This window comes from Homo sapiens, chromosome 6 (assembly GCF_000001405.40).
Source record: "Homo sapiens chromosome 6, GRCh38.p14 Primary Assembly".
In the NCBI taxonomy this organism is placed as follows: Eukaryota; Metazoa; Chordata; class Mammalia; order Primates; family Hominidae; genus Homo; species Homo sapiens.
The window spans coordinates 149,751,684-149,778,757 of NC_000006.12; the positions used below are offsets into that span (position 1 = coordinate 149,751,684).

The following is a 27,074-nucleotide window of genomic DNA, read 5'->3' on the forward strand; positions in this document are numbered from 1 at the left end:
GTTGGCCAGGCTGATGTCGAACTCCTGACTTCATGATCTGCCCACCTCGGCCTCCCAAAGTGCTGGGATTATAGGCGTGAGCCACCGCGCCAGGCCGGTACTTGATATATTAGTCATTTTGGATTTTTTTTTGGTGGGGGGACAATACTTAATGTGGAAACTGAGTCTTTAGTGTTTGGTAAGAGAGAATGTTGATTATTTTTTTTTTTTAGACAGGGTTTCACTGTCACCCAGGTTGGAGTGCAGTGGTGTGAGCTCGGCTCACTGCAACCCCTGCTTTCTGTGCTCAAGCGATTTTCCCACTTCAGCCTCCTGAGTACAGTGGTGCCACCATACCAGGCTAATTTTTAGGGTTTTTTTTTTTTTTTTGGTAGTTTATGAGATGGGGTCTTGCTATGTTGCCCAGGCTGGTCTTGAACTCCTGGACTCAAGCAATTTGTTGGACTCAGGCTCCCAAAATTTTGGGATTACAAGAGTGAGCCACCGCACCTGGCCATGGTGAATGTTTAGATGTCAACATTTTTTTTTTTTGAGACAGAGTTTTGCTCTTGTTTCCCAAGCTGGAGTGCAATGGCGTGATCTTGGCTCACTGCAACCTCTGCCTCCTGGGTTCAAGCGATTCTTCTGCCTCAGCCTCCCGAGTAGCTGGGATTACAGGCACCCACTACCACGCCTGGCTAATTTTTAGTATTTTTAGTAGAAACGGGGTTTCACTATGTTGGCCAGGCTGGTCTCAAACTCTTGACCTAAGGTGATCTGCCTGCCTCGGCCTCCCAAAGTGCTTGAATTACAGGTGTGAGCCACCACGCCCAGCCTAGATGTCAATATTTTGTCAAGCATTGTCAGGTTCATTTTATGGAATGATGCTTGATTGGAAATGGACATTTATGTGCTACAACAGTAGTATGAAGTATGATTTGGGTTCTCATGGATGGCACATAAGCTCAATATGTTGTAAATATTTTTTACGAAATCCCTTAACATGATCTCAGTGCCTTCTATTGCAGTATATGTACCTGAAACATTTTGTACACAAATTGTGATTAAGTAATTTTCCACCGGTAGGTTATCATAGTAGGCACTTGGCTGTGGCAGAAATTTGTAATCAATCAGGCTCTTAAAGTCTCTCCTTTTTTGGGCCAAATTTGTGGTAAGCCAAGACTAGATAGATCTTTTCCCGGTGGTTTCATAATCACTTTAATGTATTGCATTACTGTTCTTAGCTGAAATTTCTAAGGATGTTTTTCTGTCAGGAAATTTAATAAGGAATATTTAATATACATAGATGTTGATTTTGCAAATAGTTTTATACTAGATTTATGATTGGTAAGAGGAAATTAGAGTAGAATAGTTGTTTAGCCTCTTTTGTAACACTTGTGCAACTTTAGTTTCAACTTCTTGCTGAGGTAATTCTAGCTAATAGATTTCTTTTTATTAGCTTATTATAAAAGTAATACTTGCTCATGTGAAAATTGTAATTGACATAAAATTTGAAAATATTGCCTTCCTTCCTCATTATTCTACTGTGTATATTCTTCCTAAATTAAAGGCTTTTAATTGAAATCTTAGAAAAATATAAAAATGTGATTGTGTTGATGTTGAAATGAAAAGGGGCCTGCTTACTAGAAGGGGAAGGAAATTACATTTTTAATGGTTTTTTTTTTTTGAGACAGAGTTTCGCTCTTATTGCCCAGGCTGGAGTGCAATGGCACGATCTCAGCTCACCACAACCTCTGCTTCCCAGGTTCAAGCAATTCTCTGGCCTCAGCCTCCCGAGTAGCTGGGATTACAGGCAGGCGCCACCACACCCAGCTAATTTTGTATTTTTAGTAGAGACAAGGTTTCTCCATGTTGGTCAGCTGGTCTTGAATTCCCAACCTCAGGTGATCTGCCTGCCTCAGCCTCCCAAAGTGCTGGGATTACAGGCATGATCCACCACACCTGGCCAATAGTTTTTTTTGTTTTGTTTTGTTTTGTTTTTAAGAAATGAAGCTTAATATAATTTGTTAAGAATATTTTGTTTTCCTTTTGTATTAAAATCTATCATAATAGGACTGTGGTTGTATGATTTCATAGTTGATGCATCATTTATAGAATATTTCAGATTGTAATGGTAGATTTCTTATGTCATGGCTTATATTATAACCACTCTTAAGTAACTTAGAACAGTGACTAAAACTTGAGCATGCTTCAAAATCTCCTGAATCACCTGGAGAGCTTTTCAAAATACAGATTGCCGGAGCTTGAGAATTTGTATTTCTAACAGATTTGTAAGTGGTGCCACTGCTGGTCCAGGGACCACATTTTGAGAACCAGTGACATGGAGAATTGAAAATTATAAGGTTGAATTCTGCCAGCATATCAGCTAAATCAGTTTTATGCTTTAGAATAATGTTTTAGAAAAAGTCTATAGCAGTCTTGCCCTATAGAGTGCTTGGTGATGTTCTCTATATTGTCCAGTGTGGTAGCTACTAGCTACATGTGGCATTTAACATTTGAAATGTGGACAACTGAAGAACCGAAATTCAATTTTTTAAAAAATTAACTTAATGAAATAACCACATGTATCCAGTAGTTACCATATTGGACAGCACAGGTCTCTAGAAATGAAAAAATACAATTATTTTATGATTATGGACTGGTAATGTGCTCGTGAAACAAATTAGCTTAATTTGAAACCGTGAGCCTGCTTAATCCAGGGAATGTGACTATTTAAATAATGTTTATATTAGAGTTTACTTCCTACTCGTATTGAGATAATTTCAAGCCATGGTAAAATTTAGGAAGATAGCCAGAGTAGGTGAGGTGATGTTCTGGAGCAGGGGTATTTAAACCAGAGGGTTTGTGGGATGTTAACTTAATGGATAGGCTTCAAATGCTATAGAGTAGTCCCTCCCTTATCCCATGGTTTTGCTTTCTGAAGTTTCAGTTACCCCAAGTCAACTGAGGTCTGAAAATATTAAATGGGAAATTCCTGAAACAAGCAATTCATAAGTTTTAAATTGTGTGCTGTTTTGAGTAGCGTGAGGAACTCTCTGGACGTCCCACTTGATCCTGCCCGTGACATGAATCATCCCTTTGTTCAGCATATCTATGCTGTCTACACCTGCCCGTTTGTCACTTAGTAGCCTATTTGGTTAGCAGTGACTGTCATAGTATCACAGGGCTTGTGTCCAAATAATCCTTATTTTACTTAATAATGGACCCAAAGTGCAAGAATAATGGTGCTGGCATGTAATGATACTTGTTCTATTTTATTCATTATTTTTGTTAATTTCTTAATTGTGCCTAATTTATAAACTAAACTTTATTATAGGTATGTTACGTATAGGAAGAAAACAACATACAGATGGTCCCTGACTTAACAGTGGTTTGACTTACAAGTTTTTTACTTTACTGGATGTAAACCTGTCATAATAAACCTGTTATAAGTTAAGGAAGGCCGAGTGCGGTGGCTCACACCTGTAATCTCAGAACTTTGGGAGGCTGAGTCAGGAGGATCGCTTCAGTCCAGGAGTTTGAGACCAGCCTAGGCAACATAGTGAAAATAACATTTGTCATTTTCTCTACAAAAAATAAACAAAATTAGCTGGGCATTATGGTGCATGCCTGTAGTCTCAGCTACATGAGCTACGTGGGAGGCTGAGATGGGAGGATCACTTGAGCCCGAGAGGTTGAGGGTGCAGTAAGCCAAGATCATGCCACTGCACTCGAGCCTGGGTGATGGAGCAATACTTTGTCTCAAAAAAAAAAAAATGTTGAGTATCTGTATGGGCTGTATGGGCTTTGGTATTGTATGCGGTTTCAGGCATCTATTAAGGGTCTTGGACCGTATTTCCTGTGGGTAAAGGGAAACTACTGTACTGACCACTGAAAGCAATTGTTCTTTTATCTATTTTTATTTGTAAAAATAATTCAGTCCATTCCCCTAATGATCAATTGTTTCTACTTATGTTTCTTTTGCATTCTTGATTTTGTCATTTTACATATATAATGTTTATGGAATTTGTCATTTAGTCAGCTGATATTTTAGTGCTTTCTATATGACAGGCACTGGGGATACAGCAGTGAACAAAACAAACATCCACTCCCTCTTGTAGCTTCTAATGGGAGCAGCCAAGTATAGTATGTCACATGATAAGTGACAAAGTAGGGAGGGAGGACAGAGTGTGTGGGGCAGTAGGTTTATAGTTGTAGAGAAGGCCTCAGTAAGGTATCATTAGACCAAAGATTTGCTGGAGGAGTAGACACATATCACGCAGGTAGACTTGGGATAAGCATTCCAGGCAGAAGAAATAGCGAATTCCAGATTTGGATTTAGGATCTGGGAGAAAAGATTGGAGGCAAGGATCCAACACCAAGGTTTTAGGCCTTGGCAACTGGAATGATTTGCCATTTTCTAAATTGGAAATGGTGAGTGAGTGAGCAGCCACGTTTATTCTGTGAGGAGGGGACTGTGGGAGATCAGATTATTTTGAGGAATGCTTTTCTTATAAGACATTTAAGTCGAGATTTTTAGTAGGCATTTGAATATGCAAGAATTATGATTTGTAGTTTTTATATCCTAAAAGCATTTACTTTTGTAAATAATGAAATTATTTTCTATCTACAGCACCAGTTCTTAGCCACTAGTAGGTGTTGCTAGTAGAAAAGAGCATTTATTCTTTCCCTTTTTTTTTTTTTGAGACAGAGCCTCTTTCTGTCGCCCAAGCTGGAGTGCCGTGGCGTGATCTTAGCTCACTGCAACCTCTGTTTCCTGGGTTCAAGCGACTCCTCCATCTCAGCCTCCCGAGTAACTGGGACTACAGATGCACACCACCATGACTGGCTTTTTTTTTTTTTTTTTTTTTTTTTTTTTTTTGGTAGAGACGGGGTTTTGTCATGTTGCCCAGGCAGGTCTCAAACCCCTGGGCTCAAGTGATCCACCCGCCTCAGTCTCCAATATTGCTGGGATTATAGGCATGAGCCCCTGCGCCCAGCCAGCATTTACTCTTAATATTCCACTACTTTTGTATGCACATGGGAAAAATAGAACCAGCTGGTAAAATCCTAAGAAATTGGAGCCTCAAAGTCCAGAGGCCTTCTCATTTTGACTTATTTCAAACCAGTCTTATGGATAGGTACTAGTAAGTAAACTTGAAATCCTATGTATATATTTAAATTTAAATTATATAAAAATAAATAAAATTGGCCGGGCGTGGTGGGTCATGCCTGTAATCCTAGCACTTTGGGAGGCCGAGGTGGGTGGATCACCTGAGGTCAGGGGTACCAGACCAGCCTGGCCAACAATGCGAAAACCCGTCTCTACTAAAAATACAAAAATTAGCTGGGCATGGTGACAGGAGCCTATAATCCCAGCTACTCGGAGGCTGAAGCAGGAGAATCGCTTGAACCCGGGGAGTGGAGTTTGCAGTGACCTGAGATCGCTCCATTGTACCCCAGCCTGGGTGAAAAAGCGAAACTGCCTCAAAATAAATACATAAATAAATAAAATTAAAAATTTATATCTTTAGTCATATTAGCCACATTTCAAGAGCTCAGTAGCCACATGGAGCTAGTGCCCACCCTGTTGGACAGTGCAGATAGAGAATAGATCTGCCATCACTGAAGGTTCTTTTGGATTGCAGTAGATCTTGATGCTTGGCTGTATTACATTCTGGTTAATGAGATCTTAGGCTGTAGGAGGGGAAAGATTCGATTGTGCTGTTACAAAAATATTTTTATTAATATTATATTTAGCTTTGGTTAAATGCTTTCAGGGTGGCAGTGTAAAACTAAAGATTATTGGATAAGAGTGATGAAGATAACAAGAGGATCAGCATCTTACATGGTGCTTTGAAGGGATGGAGGTGGTTTGGTTTAGCAAAACCTTTAGGGAGCAGTGGTGTTTAAATTTGAAGAAATGTCATGTAGTAGAGGGTCAAACCAGGACAAATGGGAGGCAGATTTTGGCTCATTATAAGTAAGTATTCACAAAGCTATCCTAACAATCAAAAAGTTGGCTTTGAAAAAGTGTTTTCTGTCACCAAATATGTTGAAGCAAAGAATGGTTGACCATTTCACTGTAAGGGATATTGTAGAAGGGATTTTGTCATCAGATTTGAATGTACACTAGATCTCTAAGGACCCTTCCAAATCCAAGATTCTGTGATTTTTTTCCCCAGTGGTCCCTTGTACCTAGATTTTATGATTTAAAAAATATTTTATTTTATTTTTTGAGACAGAGTCTCACTCTGTTGCCTAAGCTGGAATGCAGTGGTGTGATCTTGGCTCACTGCAACCTCTGCCTCTCCGGTTTAAGTGATTCTCGTGTCTTAGCCTCCCGAGTAGCTGGGACTTACAGGCACGTGCCACCATACCCAGCTAATTTTTGTACTTTTAGTAGAGATGGGGTTTCACCATGTTGGCCAGGATGGCCTCAAACTCCTGACCTCAAGTGATCCACCCGACTTGGCCTCCCAAAGTGCTAGGATTACAGGAGTGAGCCACTGCGCCCAACCAATTTTTTTTTTCTTTCTTTCTTTCTTTTTTTTTTTTTTTTTTCTGAGACAGAGTCTTGCTCTGTCGTCCAGGCTGGAGTGCAGTGGCGCAACCTCAGCTCACTGCAACCTCCGCCTCCCCGGTTCAAGCAATTCTCCTGCCTCAGCCTCCTGAGTAGCTAGGATTACAGGCATATGCTACCACGCCTGGCTAATTTTTGTATTTTTTAGTAGAGGCGAGGTTTCACCATGTTGGCCAGGCTGGTCTCAAACTCCTGACTTTGTGATCTGCCCACCTCGGCCTCCCAAAGTGCTGGGATTACAAGCATTAGCCACTGCACCTGGCCCAATTTTTTTCTTTTTTTTAATAGTGTTATGGATTGCATGAAATTACTTGTGGAGTGTATGTGTTTTAGTAGCCAGCTACAGAAGTTTAACATTAACTTCTAATGTTACCTGCATTTTAGGTTTTGTATAACATTGTAGTTTGTTAGAGATGTAAAGGAATCCAAGGAACATATCCTTTGAGAAATAACATCTAAATACTATGTATCAATTAAAAGTTATTAAGGTATAGTGAAAGATCCATTTTATTTTTTTTCCCCATTGATTGGCAGAGGAAGGTACATATTTTAAAATAATCTCTGGTACTTAGAGAATATGCTTTACCGTAACTTGCCATCACATAAAATTCTTCCTTAATTATATTGTGAATTTTTTTTTTCTTTTTTGAGACGGAGTTTTGCTCTTGTTGCCCAGGCTAGAGTGCAATGGCGCGATCTCGGCTCACGACAACCTCCACCTTGTGGGTTCAAGTGATTCTCCTACCTCAGCCTCCCGAATAGCTGGGATTACAGGCACATGCCACCATGCCCAGCTAGTTTTTGTATTTTTAGTAGAGACAGGGTTTCACCAAGTTGGCCAGGATGGTCTCAATCTCTTGACCTCGTGATCTGCCCGGCTCGGCCTCCCAAAGTGCTGGGATTACAGGCGTGAGCCACCGCGCCCGGCCATGTTGTGAATTTAAAACTAATTCCTTTCACATTTTTTCAGTACAGAAAGTACCTGGGAGTGTCTCAGCCTCTACTTAGCATCTATCATGCCTAATCATTCTGAATGGGAAGAAAAAGGTGAAAGTTTTGTTAATTTCTTATTGTTTTTCCAGACATGTTGATAGCAGAGAAGAAATGTGGGGTAGATGGTTAACAGCTATCCAAGTCTTATAAACTAATATAATAAGGTAATATTTCTTTTATTTAGATGTAACCTTGTAACAAGCTTAGAAAGTTTCTATATGACTTGAAATCTATCTGCAGCTTATTTTCTTTCTTTCTTTCTTTCTTTTTTTTGAGATGGAGTTTTGTTCTTGTTGCCCGGGCTGGAGTGCAATGGCGGGATCTCAGCTCACTGCAACCTCCGCCTCCCTTGTTCAAGTGATTCTCCTGCTTCAGCCTCCCAAGTAGCAGAGATTACGGGCACCTGCCACCACATCTGGCTAATTTTTGTATTTTTAGTAGAGACGGGGTTTCACCATATTGGCCAGGCTGGTCTCAAACTCCTGACCTCAGGTGATCCACCCACCTCGGCCTCCCAAAGTGCTGGGATTACAGGCGTGAGCCACTGCGCCCGGCCTATTTTCTTACCTGTATTTTCAGTGCTTATACCAACACAGGCCCTCTTTATTTTTTTATTTCTGCCAGAGTTTTCAGCATTTTAGATCATATATCTTAGAATAATCACTGATTCTTTCAGACTGTCATCAGATTAACTCAGCAGTTCTTACAAATGCCTTTCATAGCCATCCCTTTCACCATATTTTCATTGATACCATCCCAGCCCAGGTTCGTAGTTGAAACTTACGAGTAACATACCTGGTGTCTGATTGGTTGTCATACTTTTCATTTTCCCTCCTTTCAGATCCAATCCATTCTACACATTATACTGATTTTTTCCTAGTGTACTGATTTCTGTTATGTCACTTTGCTGCTTAGGCTTCTTAATGCTTACTGTATCAGGTGTAAACACCTTTTGCTTACCTTTCCAGGCCTTTTTAGAGTCTTATATAGCTTACTCCCATGCTCCAACTCCAATCCTGTTCTGCAGGCTGGTCTTATTTGCCTCTTCATATGCCTTGTGCATGAGGGTACATTGTTCAGTTGCTATAAAAAAAGACCAAACCACAATACCTTAAACAAAATAAGTTTCTCTCTCCCATAGCAGTCCAAACAGTTCAAGACTAATATGGTGGTTCCATGGTGCTGAAGACCTAGACTCCTCTCTTGTTGCTCTGCTCTTTCCCTCATCTACAAGGTTAAAGATAGTTTACCTTCACCATTTCCCTCTTCCAGCCAATGGGGAGGTAAGCAGGAGAAAAAGGAAAACACCCATTCCTTTTAAGAGCATGATCTGGGCCAGGTGTAGTGGCTCATGCCTGTAATCCCAGCACTTTGGGAGGTCGAGGTGGGCGGATCACGAGGTCAGGAGATCGAGACCATCTTGGCTAACACTGTGAAACCCTGTCTCTACTAAAAATACAAAAAATAGCTGGGCATGGTGGTGCATGCCTATAGTCCCAGCTACTTGGGAGGCTGAGGCAGGACAATCGCTTGAACCAGGGAGTCGGAGGTTGCAGTGAGCCAAGATCGTACCACTGCACTCCAGCCTGGCACAGAGCAAGACTCCGTCTCAAAAAACAAACAAAACAAAAAGAGCATGTTCTGGAAGTTGTATCCATAATTTCTACGTATGTTCCATTGACAAGAACTTAATTGTAAGAGTTCACATAATCACAGGGAGACTAATTGGGAATGCACCCAAATAATTCTATCACTATATACTGGATTATAGAGGATGCAGGTAAAAAAGTGTGTGTGTGTGTGTGTGTGTGTGTGTATACACACATATATAAAACTGATATAACTATATGAAGGAAGGGGATAGGTTTGTGTTGTGTAAATACTCATCCATCTTGGCAGGAGGTCAGCAGATGATGTCTAAAGTAGATAAAACATGAAATACACACACACACACACATAAAATTTTATCACTATGAAAGTAAAGCAGTCCTTGCTGTATCTTGCTAATTGTAAGGGTGATGTGTGTGTGTGTGTGTGTGTGTACATATATATATACACATACATACTATCTATGATAGGAGAATTGAGAATATTAATTTTTAATCAAGTAATATATGTACATATTTAAAAGATACAGAATAAGATGAGCTTATAATGAAAAACAACATTCTTCGCCATTCCCAGACTCATTGCTTAGAGTGAACCACTTTTAACTGTTTTTGGTTCTTGTGATTATCTTCATATCTCTAAATCATATGCTTAAACTGATGTTTCATGTTTTATCTACTTTAGACATCATCTGCTGACCTCCTGCCAAGATGGATGAGTATTTACACAATACAAACCTATCCCCTTCCTTCATATAGTTATATCATAGTTTTTGGTTCCTCTTTTGTGGTTACCTTTGTAACTTTAAGTAATAGACTTTAACCTCTGTTTCTTGTTCCATAATTTATAAACTGACACTACCTCTTAACCCATCTACTTGGTAAGAAAGGGTATTAGGGAGTTCCCGCTCTCATTTCCTAATTGATTGACAGTTCTTTTACATTGTCAAAGTTGATAACATTTACATTTTGTTTTGAGCAGTAAATAAATCTTCTGCACCTTATTGTTGATTTCAAAAGTTGAAAATCAGTAGCCATCATTAATATTTATGACTGTATCCATACTTTGCTGAACGATGTAGTGTATTGAGTTTATTCCTTGCCCTTTGTTTCCTATATTACAGACCTTTCTGCTATTGAAGACTGTCAAATGTTTTTCCTTTGTTTTTTAATGCTTCATCAGTTGCTTTAAATCTTGCTACATTTTAGTTTTCCTTATATGTAAATCATAACTCTTGTATAGTGTTTTTGTTTTTTTTCCTGGAATTTGATTTATCCTCTGTGCCCGTTTTCACCCACGCTTCAAGTTGGGAAAAGAAACATATTTTTCTTACCATGACCCTAATTTTTTCAAGGTTTTTATTATTTGGCTGATAGCTTGGATTCTATTGTAGTCTCCTTTTTGAATCCTGTTTTCATTTGGATCAGTTGCATATTTGGACCAACATTAGCCATTATTATAATCATTTAATGAGGGTCTTTAGACCCTAGGGCGGCAAGCAGATCGGGTATGGGTGGCTCTCAAGCTGTTCTCTATTTCAGAAAAGCCTAATGGTAATTGCACATTTACCCCTAATTAGCCTGTACATGCAAAGTAAAACATCAAATTACTTTTCTGTTTGTTAGAAATATTTTAGAGTGCTGGTAATCTATGATATATATATATATCTATGATATATATATCTATGATATATATATCTATGATATATATATATCTATGATATATATATCTATGATATATATATCTATGATATATATATCTATGATATATATATATCTATGATATATATATATCTATGATATATATATGATATATATATCTATGATATATATATATCTATGATATATATATATCTATGATATATATATCTATGATATATATATCTATGATATATATATATCTATGATATATATACCTATGATATATATATACCTATGATATATATACCTATGATATATATATCTATGATAATCTATGATATATATGATATATATATCTATGATATATATCTATGATATATATATCTATGATATATATGTTATATATATCTATGATATATATCTATGATATATATATCTATGATATATATGATATATATATCTATGATATGTATATCTATGATATATATGATATATATATCTATGATATATATGATATATATATCTATGATATATATGATATATCTATGATATCTATGATATGTATATCTATGATATATATATCTATGATATGTATATCTATGATATATATGATATATATATCTATGATATGTATATCTATGATATATATGATATATATATCTATGATATATATCTATGATATCTATGATATATATCTATGATATCTATGATATATATATCTATGATATCTATGATATAAATATCTATGATATCTATGATATATATATCTATGATATCTATGATATAAATATCTATGATATCTATGATATATATATCTATGATATATATATCATAGATTACCAATGACAGAAAAATTATTTAATAGCTTAGTAAATATATAATAGTTTGGTTTAAGCATCTTTTAGAACATGGGATCCTGGGCAAAAATAAATAATAAGAAACTTGTGAAAATTTTGGAAACCACCCAGTAATGCCTAAAAAAGCTTTATTCTGAGACATGATGGGTTCAGCTTTTTAATAAATGGCTGATGGCATGCTATTAATAACAATTTAGAGTTTTTAGTAACTTCCATATGCCTTCATATCTGTAGAGCCAAAGAAGCTCACATAAATTTGATAGAAGTATATTATCGAGCTTGAAGGAAGTGATTTCTTTAATTTACTTTGATTTTTAGAATGTGCCTCAAGTAAAATCTTTAAGATGTCACACTTTAAGTATCCATCTAGAGAAGAATGAATACAGTGAATATGATGATGGTTTCAAAAATTGATGAATAATTGGCAGTGTTGAGTGAAGCTGCCTAACCTGAAAAAAATAAAGCTGGAGGTAGTCCTGATTTATCTTTATGTAAAAAATGGTTGACTAGATAGAAATTCAATATATTCTTTGTGGCTTCAGAGAATAACACTAAGAGTGTCATGTGAGTGAATTATGAAAAGGGAGATTCATCTTAATACAGGGAAATTGTCTAATAATCAGAGTGGTCTGAATGAGCTAGTAAGAACCACAATAATGGAACTCTTTTAGAAGAGAATATGGTACCAATTTATGAAGTTAGACTCAATGGCTCCTAAAGCCTCTTGTGACTTTGAGAGTCTATGAATCACCCTCTGGGATTTGAATTAATTTCAGGGGAAATGAACCACTCAAGAATTATTTTGGGAAATGAATTAGTAGAACTCACTAAGCTATTTGAATATGTTAGTAGCAGTATAGTGAAGTGATCATAGAAATCTAACATCTTAATTTGAATAACCCTACCCCTTATTTGCTCTGTTATCTTGGACTACTTAACTAGTCTTTCTAACCTCAATGTTATGATCTGTCAAATGAAATAATAATAGTGCCTACTTTATAGGCTTATTTGAGACAACATAAGATTCTGTTTATTAGTACTGTATCTTTCACATGGTAAACATTAAGCGAATATCACTGCTATTATTACTCTGCTTTTAAAACTTTAAAAAAAAATGCTTTCAGGCTAGGGACAGGGGCTCACACCTGTAATCTCAGCTGAGGTGGGAGGATCACTTGAGGCCAGAAATTTGAGACCAGCCTGGGCAACATGGCAAGACCCACTCTCTAAAAAAAAACTTTTAAAAATTAGCCGAGTGTGGTGGCATGCACATGTAGGCCTAGGTGTTGGGGTGGCTAAGGCAGGAAGAGCACTGGAACTCAGGAGTCTGAGGTTATAATAAACTATGATGGTGCCACTGCACTCCAGCCTGGGCAACAAAGCCAGACCATATCTCTTTAAAAATTAAAAAATGGGGCCAGGCGCGGTGGCTGAACGCCTTTAATCCCAGCACTTTGGGAGGCCGAGGCGGGTAGATCACGAGATCAGAAGATCGAGACCATCCTGGCTAACACAGTGAAACCCCGTCTCTACTAAAAATACAAAAAATTAGCCAGTCGTGGTGGCGGGTGCCTGTAGTCCCAGCTACTCTGGAGGCTGAGGCAGGAAAACGGCGTGAACCCGGGAGGCGGAGCTTGCAGTGAGCCGAGATCGCGCCACTGCACTCCAGCCTGGCGAGAGTGAGATTCCGTCTCTAAATAAATAAATAAATAAATATAAAAAATAAAATAATGCGGCCAGGTGCGGTGGCTCACGCCTGTAATCCTAGCACTTTGGGAGGCCGAGGCGGGCGGATCCACGAGGTCAGGAGATCGAGACCATCCTGGCTAACACGGTGAAACCCCGTCTCTACTAAAAATACAGAAAATTAGCCGGGTGTGGTGGCGGGTGCCTGTAGTCCCAGCTACTCGGGAGGCTGAGGCAGGAGAATGGCGTGAACCCGGGAGGTGGAGCTTGCAGTGAGCCAAGATCGTGCCACTGCACTCCAGCCTGGGAGACAGAGCGAGACTCTGTCTCAAAAAAAAAAAAAAAAAAAATTAAAAAATGCTTTCAGTGTTTTATTCTAATTACCTTTTTGGGTAGCTTGCCTATGCTTCTTCGGGTAGAAATAATATTTTCTATTTGGGTAATTTATCCAAAATTTATATTTTAAAATGGAAAGACCATATAAGTTTGTCTTTGCTAGTTTATTACTATTTACATTGTTTTCTCTATTTGATGTGCCTTTTTTGCTAATTTTAAAAAATATTCATTGTTACTTGGAAAGTTTGTATTTATACCCTTTATAGTGTCGTTAATTGACCTTATTTTTTTATTTTTTATTTTTTATTTTTTATTTTTTTGCTAGGCATGATGGCTCATACCTGTAATACCAGCACTTTGGGAGGACGAGGAAGGTGGATCACCTAAGGTCAGGAGTTTGAGACCAGCCTGACCAACATGGTGAAACTCTGCCTGTACTAAAAATACAATATTAGCTGGGTGTGGCGGTGGGCATCTGTAATCCCAGCTACTTAGGAGGCTGAGGCAGGAGAATTGCTTGAACCCGGGAGGTGGAGGTTGCCGTGAGTGGAGATCGCGCCACTGAACTCCAGCCTGGGCAACAAGAGTGAAACTCTGTCTCAAAAAAAAAATAAATTTTTTTTTTTTTTTACTATCTGGTTTATCAGTATGAAATGGTATGCTTTGATTCCTTCTATTACCTGTACAGCAGTCAGTGATCTAATTATACTTTCCCTTTTTTCCTCCTCCCATTGTTTTTAGTTGTATTCTTTCTACTTTGTCAGAACATGTAACATTTAAGTGCTATTATTTCACCCATGTTCCTATCCTTATTTCTGTCTTTGCTATACAATTGGGTATGTGTCCTTTGCCAACATATCCCTGGTTATCTCTTGGTTAAATGAAACACATCCTCTAGAAGATTCCTCAGAAAGGGCTTGTGTGTACAGCATTCTCTGAGTTCCTGCATATTCAAAATGGTTTTTTTCCTTCCTATGGCCTCGATATTTGAAGGACAGCTTGGCTGGGTATAAAATCGTTGGCTTACACTTAAAAAAAATCAGCTTTATTGAGGTATAAGTTATATAAAAATTCACCAGTTGTAAGAATACAATTTGAAAAATGTGACAAACAGAAAGTGTAACCCCCAACTTCATTATGATGTGGAACATGGGTCAGCAAACTACAGGCCACAGACAAAATTTGGCCTGCTGCCTGGTTTTATAAATTTTTATTGGAACACAGCCACACTTTCATTTATGTAGTGTTTCTGGCTGTTCTTGCATCACAGTGGTAGTGCTTAGTAGTTGCAACAGAGATTACACGGCTTGCAAATCCTAAAATATTTACTATTTGGACCTTTACAGTTGTTTGCTGATCTCTGCTATAGAATGTTTCTTTCACCCAAAAAGTTTTCTGGTGTCTCTTTGTAATTAATCTCCTCCCTTCTCCTATCCTCTAGCAACTACAGACGGGCCTTCTACCACTATGGTTTTGGCTTTTCTAGAATGTGTTAAAAATGGAATCATGTAGTCTCCTCACCTGGCTTCTTTCACTTAGATTAGTGCTTTTGAGATTCATTCAAGCTGAGTGTGGTGGCTCACATCTGTAATCCCAGCACTTTGGGAGGCTGAGGTGGGTGGATCACGAGGTCAGGAGTTCAAGACCAGCCTGGCCAACACAGTGAAACCCTGTCTCTGCTAAAAATACCAAACTTAGCTGGATGTGGTGGCAGGCGCTTATAATCCCAGCTACTTGGGAGGCTGAGGCAGGAGAATCACTTGAACCCAGGAGGCAGGTTGCAGTGAGCCGAGATCACGCCACTGCACTCCAGCCTGGGCAACAGAGGAAGACTCCTTCTCAAAAAAAAAGAAAAAGAAATTCATTCATGTTGGGTATATCAGTAATTCACTCTTTTTTTTTTTTCTGCTGCTCTTCAACTCAGGCTCAAGTGATCCTCCTACCTTGGCCTCCCACAGTGCTGGAATTATAGGCATGAGTCACCGCACCCAGCCGTTCACTCCTTTTTATGGTGACTTGCACTTTCTTTCCTTGAATTTCTTGAAAATGCTGCCTTATTCTTACTTTGCTTTGAATCTTGCTCTTAATTTTTATTTTTATTTATTGAGACAGGGTTTCACTCTGTCACCCAGGCTAGGGTGCAGTGGCATGATCAGGGCATACTGCAGCCTTGACCTCCCAAGCTCAAGCAATCCTCCCACCTCAGTCCCCTGAGTAGCTGGGTCTACAGGTATGCGTCACTACGTCCAGCTAATTTTTTAAGTTTTTTGTAGAGATGGGGTCTCTTCGTGTTGCCCAGGCTGGTCTCGAACTCCTGGACTCAAGTGATCCACCCACCTTGGCTTTCTAAATTGCTGGGATTACAGACGTGAGCCACTGCATCTGGCTTGTTTGTTGCTCTTAAGAAATCTGTAGTGACCTAATTTTTTGTTCGTTTGTTTGTTTTGAGATGACGTCTTGCTCTGTCACCCAGGCTGGAGTGCAGTGGCGCGATCTTGGCTCACTGCAGCCTCCACCTCCCAGGTTCAAGCGATTCTCCTGCCTCAGCCTTCTGAGTAGCTGGGATTACAGGTGCGCACCACCACACCCGGCTAATGTTTGTATTTTTAGTAGAGATAGGGTTTCGCCATGTTGGCCAGGCTGGTCTTAAACTCCTGACCTCAGGTGATCCACCCACCTCGGCCTCCCAAAGTGCTGGGATTACAGGCATGAGCCACCATGCCCGACCTGTTTGTTTGTGTTTTGAGACAGGGCCTTACTCTGTTGCCCAGGCTGGAGTACAGTGGCATGATCACAGCTCACTGTAGCCTCAACTTACTGAGCTTAAGTGATCCTGCCACCTCAGCCTCCAAGTAGCTGGGACCACAGGCACATGGCACCACACCTGGCTAATTTTCAAATTTTTTTAAAGAAACGGGGTCTCCCTATGTTGCCCAGGCTGGTCTTGAGCTCCTAGGCTTAAGCAATCCTTTTGCCTTGGTCTCCCAAAGTGCTCGGATTACAGGCATGAGCTACCGCACCTGGCCCCTAATTTTTAAAATTCTTATTATAATAGGTGATTTGATCTTTTAGTCTTGAATTTTTTTTTTTTTTTTTTTTTTTTTGAGATGGAGTCTCACCCTGTCACTCAGGCTGGAGCGCAGTGGCATGATCTTGACTCACTGCAACCTCCGCCTCCCAGGCTCAAGTGATCCTCCTACCTTAGCCTCTGAGTAGCTGGGATCACAGACATGAACCACCATGCACGGCTAGTTTTTTTTTTCTTTTTTAATTTTTTTAAAGACAGAGCCTCGCTCTGTTGCTCATGCTTGAGTGCAGTGGCATGATCTCGGCTCACTGCAGCCTCCTTCTCCTGGGTTCAAGCGATTCTTGTGCCTCGGCCTCCTTAGGAGCTGGGATTACAGGCATGTGCCACCACGCCCAGCTAATTTTTGTATTTTTAGTAGAGATGGGGTTTCGCCATGTTGGCCGTATTGGTCTTGAACTCCTGACCTCAAGTGATCCGCCTACCTCAGCCTCCCAAAGTGCTAGGATTACGGACGTTAGCCACCGCGCCAGCCTGGCTAATTATTTTTGCCTTGATGTTTTGAGAATTTTTTTCCTTTCCTTTAAAATCTAATAGTTTCATTAGAATGTATTTTGAAGTTAATTCTTCCTGGTAATATGTTTACTCCCTGGCACATTTTCTTAGAGTATAGTTTTAAATACTGGTTTTCTTTAATCAGCAGAAATGTTTTTATTTGCATTTAGTTTTCTTTTTACATTAGATTTGAATGGCATTGGTTTGATTGGTTTTTTTCTTTTTCCTACTTTTAGGCATTTTGTGGACAGAGTTCATTGTGTACCCCCTCCTGTTAGTATAGCATCCTGCACCTTCTTTAATGGATGATGATATTGGTAGTGGGGAGGAAAAGGGGAGTTAGCACCTATTTGTGCAGGATTCTTTTTTTTTTTTTTTTTTTTTTTTGAGACTGAGTCTTACTCTGTCACGCAGGCTGGAGTTCAGTGGCACGATCTCGGCTCACTGCAACCTCAGCCTCCGGGTTCAAGCAGTTCTCCCGTCTCAGCCTCCTGAGTAGCTGGGATTACAGGGGTGCGCCACCACACCTGGCTAATTTTTGTATTTTTAGTAGAGATGGGGTTTCACCATGTTGGACAGGCTGGTCTCAAACTCCTGACCTTAAGTAATTTGCCCGCCTGGGCCTCCCAAAGTGCTGGAATTACAGGTGTGAGCTACCGTGCCTGGCCTTGAGACAGGGGTCATGCTTTCTCACCCAAGCTGGAGTGCAGTGGTATGATCATACCTCACTATAATCTCAAACTCCTGGGCTCAAGCAATTCTCCCACCTCAGCCTCCTGAGTATTTATGACTACATGGTTGTGCCATGATCCCCAGCTAATTAAATTTTTTTTTTTTTTTTTTTTTTTTTTGTGGAGACAGGGCCTATGTTGCCTTGCCTGGTCTCAAGCTATCCTCCCTGTTGGCCTCCCCAGGCTTTGAGATTATAGGCATGGGCCGCTGCACCTGGCCTTAATCTCAGCTAATTGTTGGGGAAGGCAAATATATATTATTGATCTTGCTTTCCTTCCTGAGAAATTCACGTCTCCTGGCTCTACAACAGTCAACAGTATGGTCTGGTCTTCATCCTGCCTCTGTGACTGCTCATCATCTTTCATGGCTCTGTTTTCTTTGCATATCTTTTAGATGTTGGCTTTGTCTTCTCTACTTATTCTCTGGCCACTTTGAATTCACTTTGATTGCTTTAGTTGCCATCCATAATAAATAGAAATCTTTATTCTAGATCTCTTTCCTGAGCTCCAGATCCATGTGTCCAGCTGACTACAGAATATCTCCAGTTGTATGATCTGAAGCCCCTAACTTTTTACCCCTTAACTTTGATCCTTCTACAGGATTTCTTAAATTGGTAAATGGCATCAGCGTATCAATGATTACCTCCACTCCCATCCCCAAATCCAGTCAGTCAGGTATATATTACCTACCAAATATAACTCATTATCCTTCTAGTTTTCTGTGTCCTTGCTGTTACTAAAGACCAGGTTGGGCTGGGCACGGTGGCTCACACCTATAATCCAGCTTTGGGAGGCTGAGGTGGGTGGATCATGAGGTCAGGAGATGAAGGCCAGCCTGGCTAACACAGTGAAACCCCATCCCTACTAAAAATACAAAAAATTAGCTGGGCGTGGTGGCATGCACCTGTAGTCGCAGCTACTTGGGAGGCTGAGGCAGGAGAATCACTTGAACCTGGGAGGCGGAGGTTGCAGTGAGCCGAGATCGCACCACTGCACTCCAGCCTGGGCAACACAGCAAGACTCCATCTCAAAAAAAAAAAAAAAAAGCCGGGTCCAGTGGCTCACACCTGTAATCCCAGTGCTTTGGGAGGCCAAGGTGAGCAGATCACAAGGTCAGGAGATCGAGACCATCCTGGCTAACATGGTGAAACCCTGTTTCTAAAATACAAAAAATTAGCCAGGCGTGGTGGCGGGCACCTGTAGTCCCAGCTACTCGGGAGGCTGAGGCAGGAGAATAGCGTGAACCCAGGAGGCAGAGCTTGCAGTGAGCCGAGATTGCGCCACTGCACTCCAGCCTGGGCGACAGAGCGAGACTCTGTCTCAGAAAAAAAAAAAGAAACCAGGTTGCCATTACCTGGGCCATTACAACAACTTCCAATCATTCTCTCTTCCAGTTCAGTCTCTATAGCACAGCTGGTGTAATTATTCTAAAATATCTCTGATCATGTCTCTCTCTTCTGAAAATATTTGCCTCACTTGTTTCAGAAAATGGAATCATCAAGACAGATAAAGTATTTGAAGTGATGCTGGCTACAGACCGCTCCCACTATGCAAAATGTAACCCATACATGGATTCTCCACAATCAATAGGTAAGCTTTAGATTTCTGAAAATATCATAGTTTTCATCATTTACTTTATGATTTTTGGAAGTAGAAAAAGCCTGGGACACAGATATTTATCTATTATTACCTTCTTAATTTGAATTTTATGACTCAGCAAGTTTCATAATCCCAAACATACCTATTTTAATAAAATTATGTATGTTTTTCTGTTTTCTCGAACAATATATAATATGTATAAAGAATTAAAAACATTTTTTGAAATAAAATATTTTAGTGAAAAAAACTTTTGTATTTGGAGACGGAGTCTCATTCTATCATCCAGGCTGGATTGCAGTGGCACAATATCGGCTCACTGCAACCTTCACCTCCTGGGTTCAAGCAGTTTTCCTGCCTTAACCTCCCGAGTAGCTGGGATTACAGGTGCATGCCACCATGCCTGGCTAATTTTTTGTATTTTAGTAGAGACGGGGTTTCAGCGTGTTGCCCAAGCTGGTCTCGGAACTCCTGAGCTCAGGCAAACCACCCGTGTTGGCCTCCCAAAGCACTAGGATTACAGGCATGAGCCACCACACCCTGCCGTAAAAAAAAACTTTTAATGAAAACTTACAGTATTAGCCGAGTGCTGAGTTTTCTTTAGGGGCCTTAGTGTTGACTAAAGATTAGTTTTCAGGTTAGGATTAATTTTTTAAATCAATATTTAAATAAGTGTGCTTAAGTTATTAATGACTTCTCTGCTTTATTTGCCCTGCTTTTTTGGCTTGTGTTTGTTTTTAGAAAGTCCTGTATTTAACTCCTTCTCCTGAAGCAGGTTTTGCTGAACTGCTGAGCCTTGGCAGTGGGCGCCTTTGAGGCTTAGAAGTGCCTCAGGATTCTGTCAGTCGGCTGCCATGCTATCTTCTTTTGACGCACTATAACAGTCAGCAGAGAAGATCCTGGGGAGCTTCTGAACCCCGAAGGCACCTGCTACCACCGCTCAGTGAAACTTGCTTCAGAGGCAGAAAGAAGCAGGTAAATAAGTTTTGAGAAAGCAACACCACAAGAAAAGAAACTAAAAGTTAAGAACCACGAAAAGATTGTGTGAATTAACATTAGATGATAAGATAAAGAATAAAATGAAGTATTTTATTGGTCTTTTAAGCTACTTTTTCAGTTATTCTAGTTTTTTTTTAAGTTGACAGAAATATGAAGCAATTTAATTTTGCACAGACTTTGTATACCTATTACATATGAAAACTTATTTTTAAAAAACAATCTGAAGTAAAAACAAGCCAAAAATATATCAACTCTCAACTTACTGAAATTCTTCCTTTCTTAGCTGACTCTACAGGAGAAGAAATTTTTAGCTGCCGTACTTTAGAGGGACTGTTTTACTAGATGAGCACGTTACCCTTTGGCATGATTATATTTTCTAATTTTAACTGCTGGGTGACAGTACTCTAATAGAAGTAAGTTTTATTTTCTTGAGATCATAAAAACTAAAAAAGAATTATTGTGAAAGCCGGGCGTGGTGGCTCACGCCTGTAATCCTAGCACTTTGGGAGGCCGAGGTGGGTGGATCACGAGGTCAGGAGATCGAGACCATCCTGGCTAACGCGGTGAAACCCCGTCTCTACTAAAAGTACAAAAAATTAGCCGGGCGTGGTGGTGGGGGCCTGTAGTCCCAGCTACTCGGGAGGCTGAGGCAGTAGAATGGCGTGAACCTGGGAGGCGGAGCTTGCAGTGAGCCAAGATCGCGCCACTGCACTCTAGCCTGGGCGACACAGTGAGACTGTCTCAGAAAAAAAAAAAAAAAAAAAGAATTATTGTGAAAAATAACGTATGGATGGTAGAAAAGAAATTATGTGAAATAGTATATTTTTACAGCTGACTGTATCAGTAGTTCTCTTCTTCTTTTGCAGGTTTCCAAGCAACAATCAGTGCTCCACACATGGTAAGTTAAGTTTGTTCACTTGGTTACAAATGGATTACATTTTTCTCTATAATCATTTTCTTTAGTAAAAAAGATTTAAAGAAAGTTGTATCAATTTATCATCTATGAGTTATGTGAATTGGTAATGAACATCATTTTCTTTTTTGAACATCTTATTCTTAATACAGGGTCTGTAGAAGGAGTTTTGTTTTGTTTTGTTTTGTTTTGTTTTGTTTTGTTTTGTTTTTGAGATGGAGTCTCGCTCTGTCGCCCAGGCTAGAGTGCAGTGGCACAATCTCGGCTCACTGCAACCTCCCACTTCCGGGTTCATGCCATTCTCCTGCCTCAGCCTCCCCAGGAGCTGGGACTACAGGTGCCCACCACGATGCCCGGCTAATTTTTTATATTTTTAGTAGAGACGGGGTTTCATGGTCTTAGCCAGGATGGTCTCGATCTCCTGACCCTCGTGATCCGCCTGCCTCGGCCTCCCAAAGTGCTGGGATTACAGGCGTGAGCCACTGCGCTTGGCCCAGAAGGAGCTTTTTAAGGTAGAAACTGGCATATTAAAAGATTTTGGTGGTTGTCAGTATCTGTGACATGTAAAAATTGAACATAAAAGGTTATTTAGTAGACAGTTAATTAATGGAGATAATATTTTAAATAGTATAATGGACATTTTATAGAAATCTCAAGTTGAATATTATTTCACATTTTATGTGGAAAATTCATTAGGGAGTGGTTAAGTATAAGAGCCATTAAGCTGCATAGCTCCTTGAGAAAGACTTACTTTGAGTGATCTAGCAGTTTTAATCTGTTGGGAATTTTCTTGGGTTTTATTTATTTATTTATTTATTTTTGAGACAACTTCTTACCTTGTCACCCAGGCTGGAATGCAGTGGTATAATCATCACAGCTCACTGCAGCCTTGACTCCCGGGCTCATGCAGTCCTCCCACCTCAGCCTCCTAAAGTGCTAGGATTACAGGCATGAGCCACTGTGCCCAACCTTTTCTTAGGGTTTAAATGTCAGTATTTGAATGAGTACTTTTGTTTTATTTTGTAGGAAAGAACAATAGCTTTTCTTTTCTTTTTCTTTTCTTTTTTTTTTTTGAGATGGAGTCTCACACTGTTGCCCAGGCTGGTGTGCAGTGGCGCGATCTTGGCTTGCTGCAACCTCCGCCTCCTGGGTTCAAGTGATTCTCCTGCCTCAGCCTCCTGAGTAACTAGCATTACAGGTGCCCGCCACCACACTCAGCTTATGTTTTGTATTTTTAGTAGAGACGGGGCTTCACTATGTTGGCCAGGCTGGTCTTGAACTCCTGACCTTGTGATCCACCCGCCTCAGCCTCCCAAAGTGCTGGGATTATAGGTGTGAGCCACTGGGCCCAGTCTTTTTTTTTTTTTTTTTGAGACGGAGTTTCGTTCTTGTGCCCAGGCTGGAGTGCAATATTGTCATCTCTGCTCACTGCAACCTCCACCTCCTAGGTTCAAGTAATTCTCTTGCCTCAGCCTCCCTAGTAGCTGGGATTACAGGCACCCGCCACCACACCTGGCTAACTTTTTTTTTTTTTTTTTTTTGAGACGGACTCTCACCTGTGGCCCAGGCTGGAGTGCAGTGGCGCCATCTTGGCTCACTGCAAGCTCCGCCTCCTGGGTTCACGCCATTCTCCTGCCTCAGCCTCCTGAGTAGCTGGGACTACAGGTGCCCGCCACCATGCCCTGCTAGTTTTTTGTATTTTTTAGTAGAGACGGGGTTTCACCATGTTAGCCAGGATGGTCTCGATCTCGTGACCTTGTGATCCGCCCGCCTCGGCCTCCCAAAGTGCTGGGATTACAGGCGTGAGCCACCCCACCCAGCCTTAACTTTTTGTATTTTTAATAGAGACAGGGTTTCACCTTGTTGGCCAGGCTGGTTTTGAACTCCTGACCTCAGGTGATCCACTCGCCTTTGCCTCCCAAAATGCTGGGATTATAGGCATGAGCCACTGGGCCTGGCCAGAACAATAACTTTTCTGATTCTCTGCAAGTATTTGGGGTTGGAGAAGCTCTTATTTAAACTTAATACTAATATAAATTCTATATGTATTTATAGCAAATTGATAATTATACTAGAAGAAAAAAGCAGACATTTATAAAAATTGAATAGTAATGTCTTCTTGAAACATGACAGAAAACACAGAAGCCATTAAAAAAACCTGATACATTTTGAAACTTACATATCTAGGATTTTTGCGGAGAAAAAATGTTATAAGCAAAAATTAAAGAGGAAAAATTGGCTGTGTGTGGTGGCTCACACCTGTGTAATCTCAACACTTTGGGAGGCCGAGGCAGGAATATCGCTAGAAGCCAGGAGTTTGAGACCAGCCTGGGCAACAAAGCAAGACTCTGTCTCTACAAAAAATTTTAAAAATTAGTTGGGTGTGGTGGCAATGTTCCTGTAGTCCCAGCTACAAGGGAGGCCAAGGCAGAAGGATTGTCTGAGTCCAGGAATTTGAGGCTGCAGTGAGCCATGATTGTGCTACTGCACTCCAGCCTGGTTGACAGAGACCCTCATCTCAATAATAATAATTAACGATTGAGGGAAATATTGTAATACATATGACAGCAAGGGAAAATTTCAATATGTAGACATGTATGCATACATTTGTGTTTGTGTGTATCCTGTTAATAAGTGAAAGACCGGTAAGCCCAAAAGAAAATGTGTAAAGGACAGGATTGATAGTTCATCGTGGCCAGGCGTGGTGGCTCACATCTGTAATCCCAGCACTTTGGGAGGCCAAAGTGGGCGAATCACCAGAGGTTGGGAGTTTGAGACCAGCCTCACCAACATGGAGAAACCCTGTCTCTACTAAAAATACAAAATTAGCTGGGCGTGGTGGCGCATGCCTGTAATCCCAGCTACTTGGGAGGCTGAGGCAGGAGAATCGCTTGAACCCGGGAGGCAGAGGTTGCGTTGAGCTGAAATTGCACCATTGCCCTCCAGCCTGGGCAGCAAGAGTGAAAGTCTGTCTCAAAAAAGAAAAGGCTAAGATAGTTCATTGAACAGAAATACAAATGACTTTGACATTTAAACAAATGAAAAGATGTCATCTTCACGTATTTAAATTTTTTTTTTTTTGAGGCAGAGTCTTGCTCTGTTGCCCAGGCTGGAGTGCAGTGGCATGATCTCGGCTCACTGCAACCTCCGCCCCGTGGATTCAAGCAATTCGCGTGCCTTACTCAGCCTTCCTCGTAGCTGGGATTACAGGTGTGCACTACCATGCCCGGCTAATTTTTGTATTTTTAGTAGAGATGGGGTTTCGCCATGTTGGCCAGGCTTGTCTCCTGACCTGACCTCCTGACCTCAAGTGATCTCCTGACCTCAAGTGATCCACCCGCCTTGGCCTCCCAGAGTGCTGGGATTACAGGTGTGAGCCACTGTGCCTGGCCATTAAAATTTTTTTTTGTAGAGACAGGGCCTCACTTTGTTACCCCAGGTTGGTCGTGAACTCCTGGGCTCTAGTGATCCTCTTGCTTTGGCCTTCTAAAATGTTGGATTACAGGCATAAGCCACCATGCCCAGCCTCATCTTCACTTATACTTAGTAAATTGCAAATTAGCACTATAATGAGGTACCAGTTTTCACCTATCAGATTGTTAGAGATTAAAAAATTTGATACTTTGTATTGGAAATGGAAAACTGGCAGTCACATACTTTTTTTGTGTGGGAGAGTACATTGAATGTTTTTGGAAGACAATTTGGCAGTATCTATCGAAATGTGAAATAAATATAACTTAGATTTCCCAGTTTTATTTCAAGATATTTATCCCATAATATATACATGAGTGCAGAGTGACTTAAGTTATTTATTGACGTCTTATTTATTATAATTACAAAAAGCAATGTCCACAAATGGTGGATGGTTAATAAATTACAGTACAGATGCTCCTTGACTTACATGGGGGTATGTCCTGGTAAACCCATCATAAGTTGAAAATACTGTAACTCTAAAATGCATTTAATATACTTAGCCTACCAAACTTCATAGCTTAGCCTTGCCTACCTTAAATGTGCTCAGAACACTTACGTTAGCCTACAGTTGGGCAAAATCAACTAACACAAAGTCTGTTTTATAATAAAATGGTGAATATCACATGTAATTTATTGAATATTGTACTGAAAGTGGAAAATAGAATGCATGTATGGGTACTTGAAGTACAATTTGTACAGAACGTGTATAATTTTTACATCATCGTAAAGTCGAGAAATCATATGTTGAACCACTGTTAAGTCAGGGACCATCTTAACCTCCATGTTGTGGAGTATTGTGAAACTGTTAAAAGAACTCTGCAAGTACAAATATGACAAAGTCTTCAAGAAATGCAGTATAATACTTACAGGTGGTTTTTTGGGTGGGAAAAATAAGAATGAAACAGTATAAAAGTTGAGTCCCAAAGGGTATTTAGAATATTCTGTAATGTATGAAAATCACATATGCACACATACATGCACATATATGTTTTTCTTTGGGAATGAAAACTAAAAATAATTTCTTCTAAGATAGGAATTAGCTTATTTAGGATATATGGGTGGAATTGAGATCTGATTTTCACTCTGTGTCCTTGATCTGTTATCAATTCCTTCCTTTCTTTCTTTGCTTTCTTTGACTTTCTTTCTTTGTCCTTTCTCTTTCTTTTCTTCTTTCTTTTTCTCCTTCCTTCCTTCCTTCCTTCTTTCCTTCTTTTCTTCTTTTTTTTTTTTTTTTTTTCCACAAAGTCTCACTCTGTTGCCCAGGCTGGAGTGCAGTGGGGTGATCTTGGCTTACTGCAACCTCTGCCTCCCGGATTCAAGTGATTCTCCTGCCTCAGCCTCTCAGATAGCTGGGATTACAGATATACACCACCAAGCCTGGCTAATTTTTGTATTTTTAGTAGAGACAGGGTTTCGTCACGTTGGCCAGGCTGGTCTTGAACTCCTGGCCTCAAGTGATCTGCCTGACTCGGCCTCCCAAAGTGCTGGGATTACAAGCTTGAGCCACTGTGTCTGGCGTGTTATCAATTTCTTTATTCCTTTTGCTTAATTTTTTTTAACATTTTAATTTTTTATTATTATTATTTTTGAGATGGAGTCTCTCTCTGTCGCCCAGGCTGGAGTGCAGTGGCACAGTCTCAGCTTAGTGAAACTTTTGCCTCCCAGGTTCAAGCAGTTCTCCTGCTTCAGCCTCCTGAGTAGCTAGGATTACAAGTGTGCACCACCACACCCGGCTAATTTTTGTATTTTTAGTAGAGATGGGATTTCACCGTGTTGGCCAGGCTGGTCTCAAACTCCTGACCTCAAGCGATCCACCCTCCTTGGCCTCCCAAAGTGCTGGGATTACAGGCCTGAGCCACTGCGTCTAGCCCTTAATTTTTTAGTTTTTGTTTTTTTTAAGACAGGGTGTTGCTTTGTTGCCCAGGCTGGAGTACAGAAGCATGATGATGGCCCACTGCAGCCGAGACCTGCTGAGCTTAAAAGATCCTCCCACCTTAGCCTCCTGAGTAGCTGGGACTATAGGCACATACCACCACCCTTTACTTTTTAAAAACATTTTCTGTAGAGATGAGGACTCACTGTGTTGCCCAAGCTAGTTC

At 40.2% G+C, this 27,074-nt stretch overlaps 1 protein-coding gene across 9 annotated transcripts in view; it reads left to right on the forward strand.

Moving 5' to 3' along the window:
• Nucleotides 1–27,074, forward strand: part of PCMT1 (protein-L-isoaspartate (D-aspartate) O-methyltransferase) — a 61,727-nt gene that overhangs the window by 1,989 nt on the left and 32,664 nt on the right. For 7 of the 9 annotated variants that reach the window (NM_005389.2, NM_001252049.1, NM_001252050.1 and 4 more), the window contains exons 2-3: nt 19,479–19,583; nt 21,455–21,486. In NM_005389.2, coding sequence (NP_005380.2) covers nt 19,479–19,583; nt 21,455–21,486 — 137 coding nt within the window. Of the gene's footprint in view, nt 1–18,092; nt 18,669–19,478; nt 19,584–21,454; nt 21,487–27,074 lie in introns of those variants that run through there. The other 2 variants (XM_011535868.3, NM_001252051.1) reach the window with 2 other exon arrangements.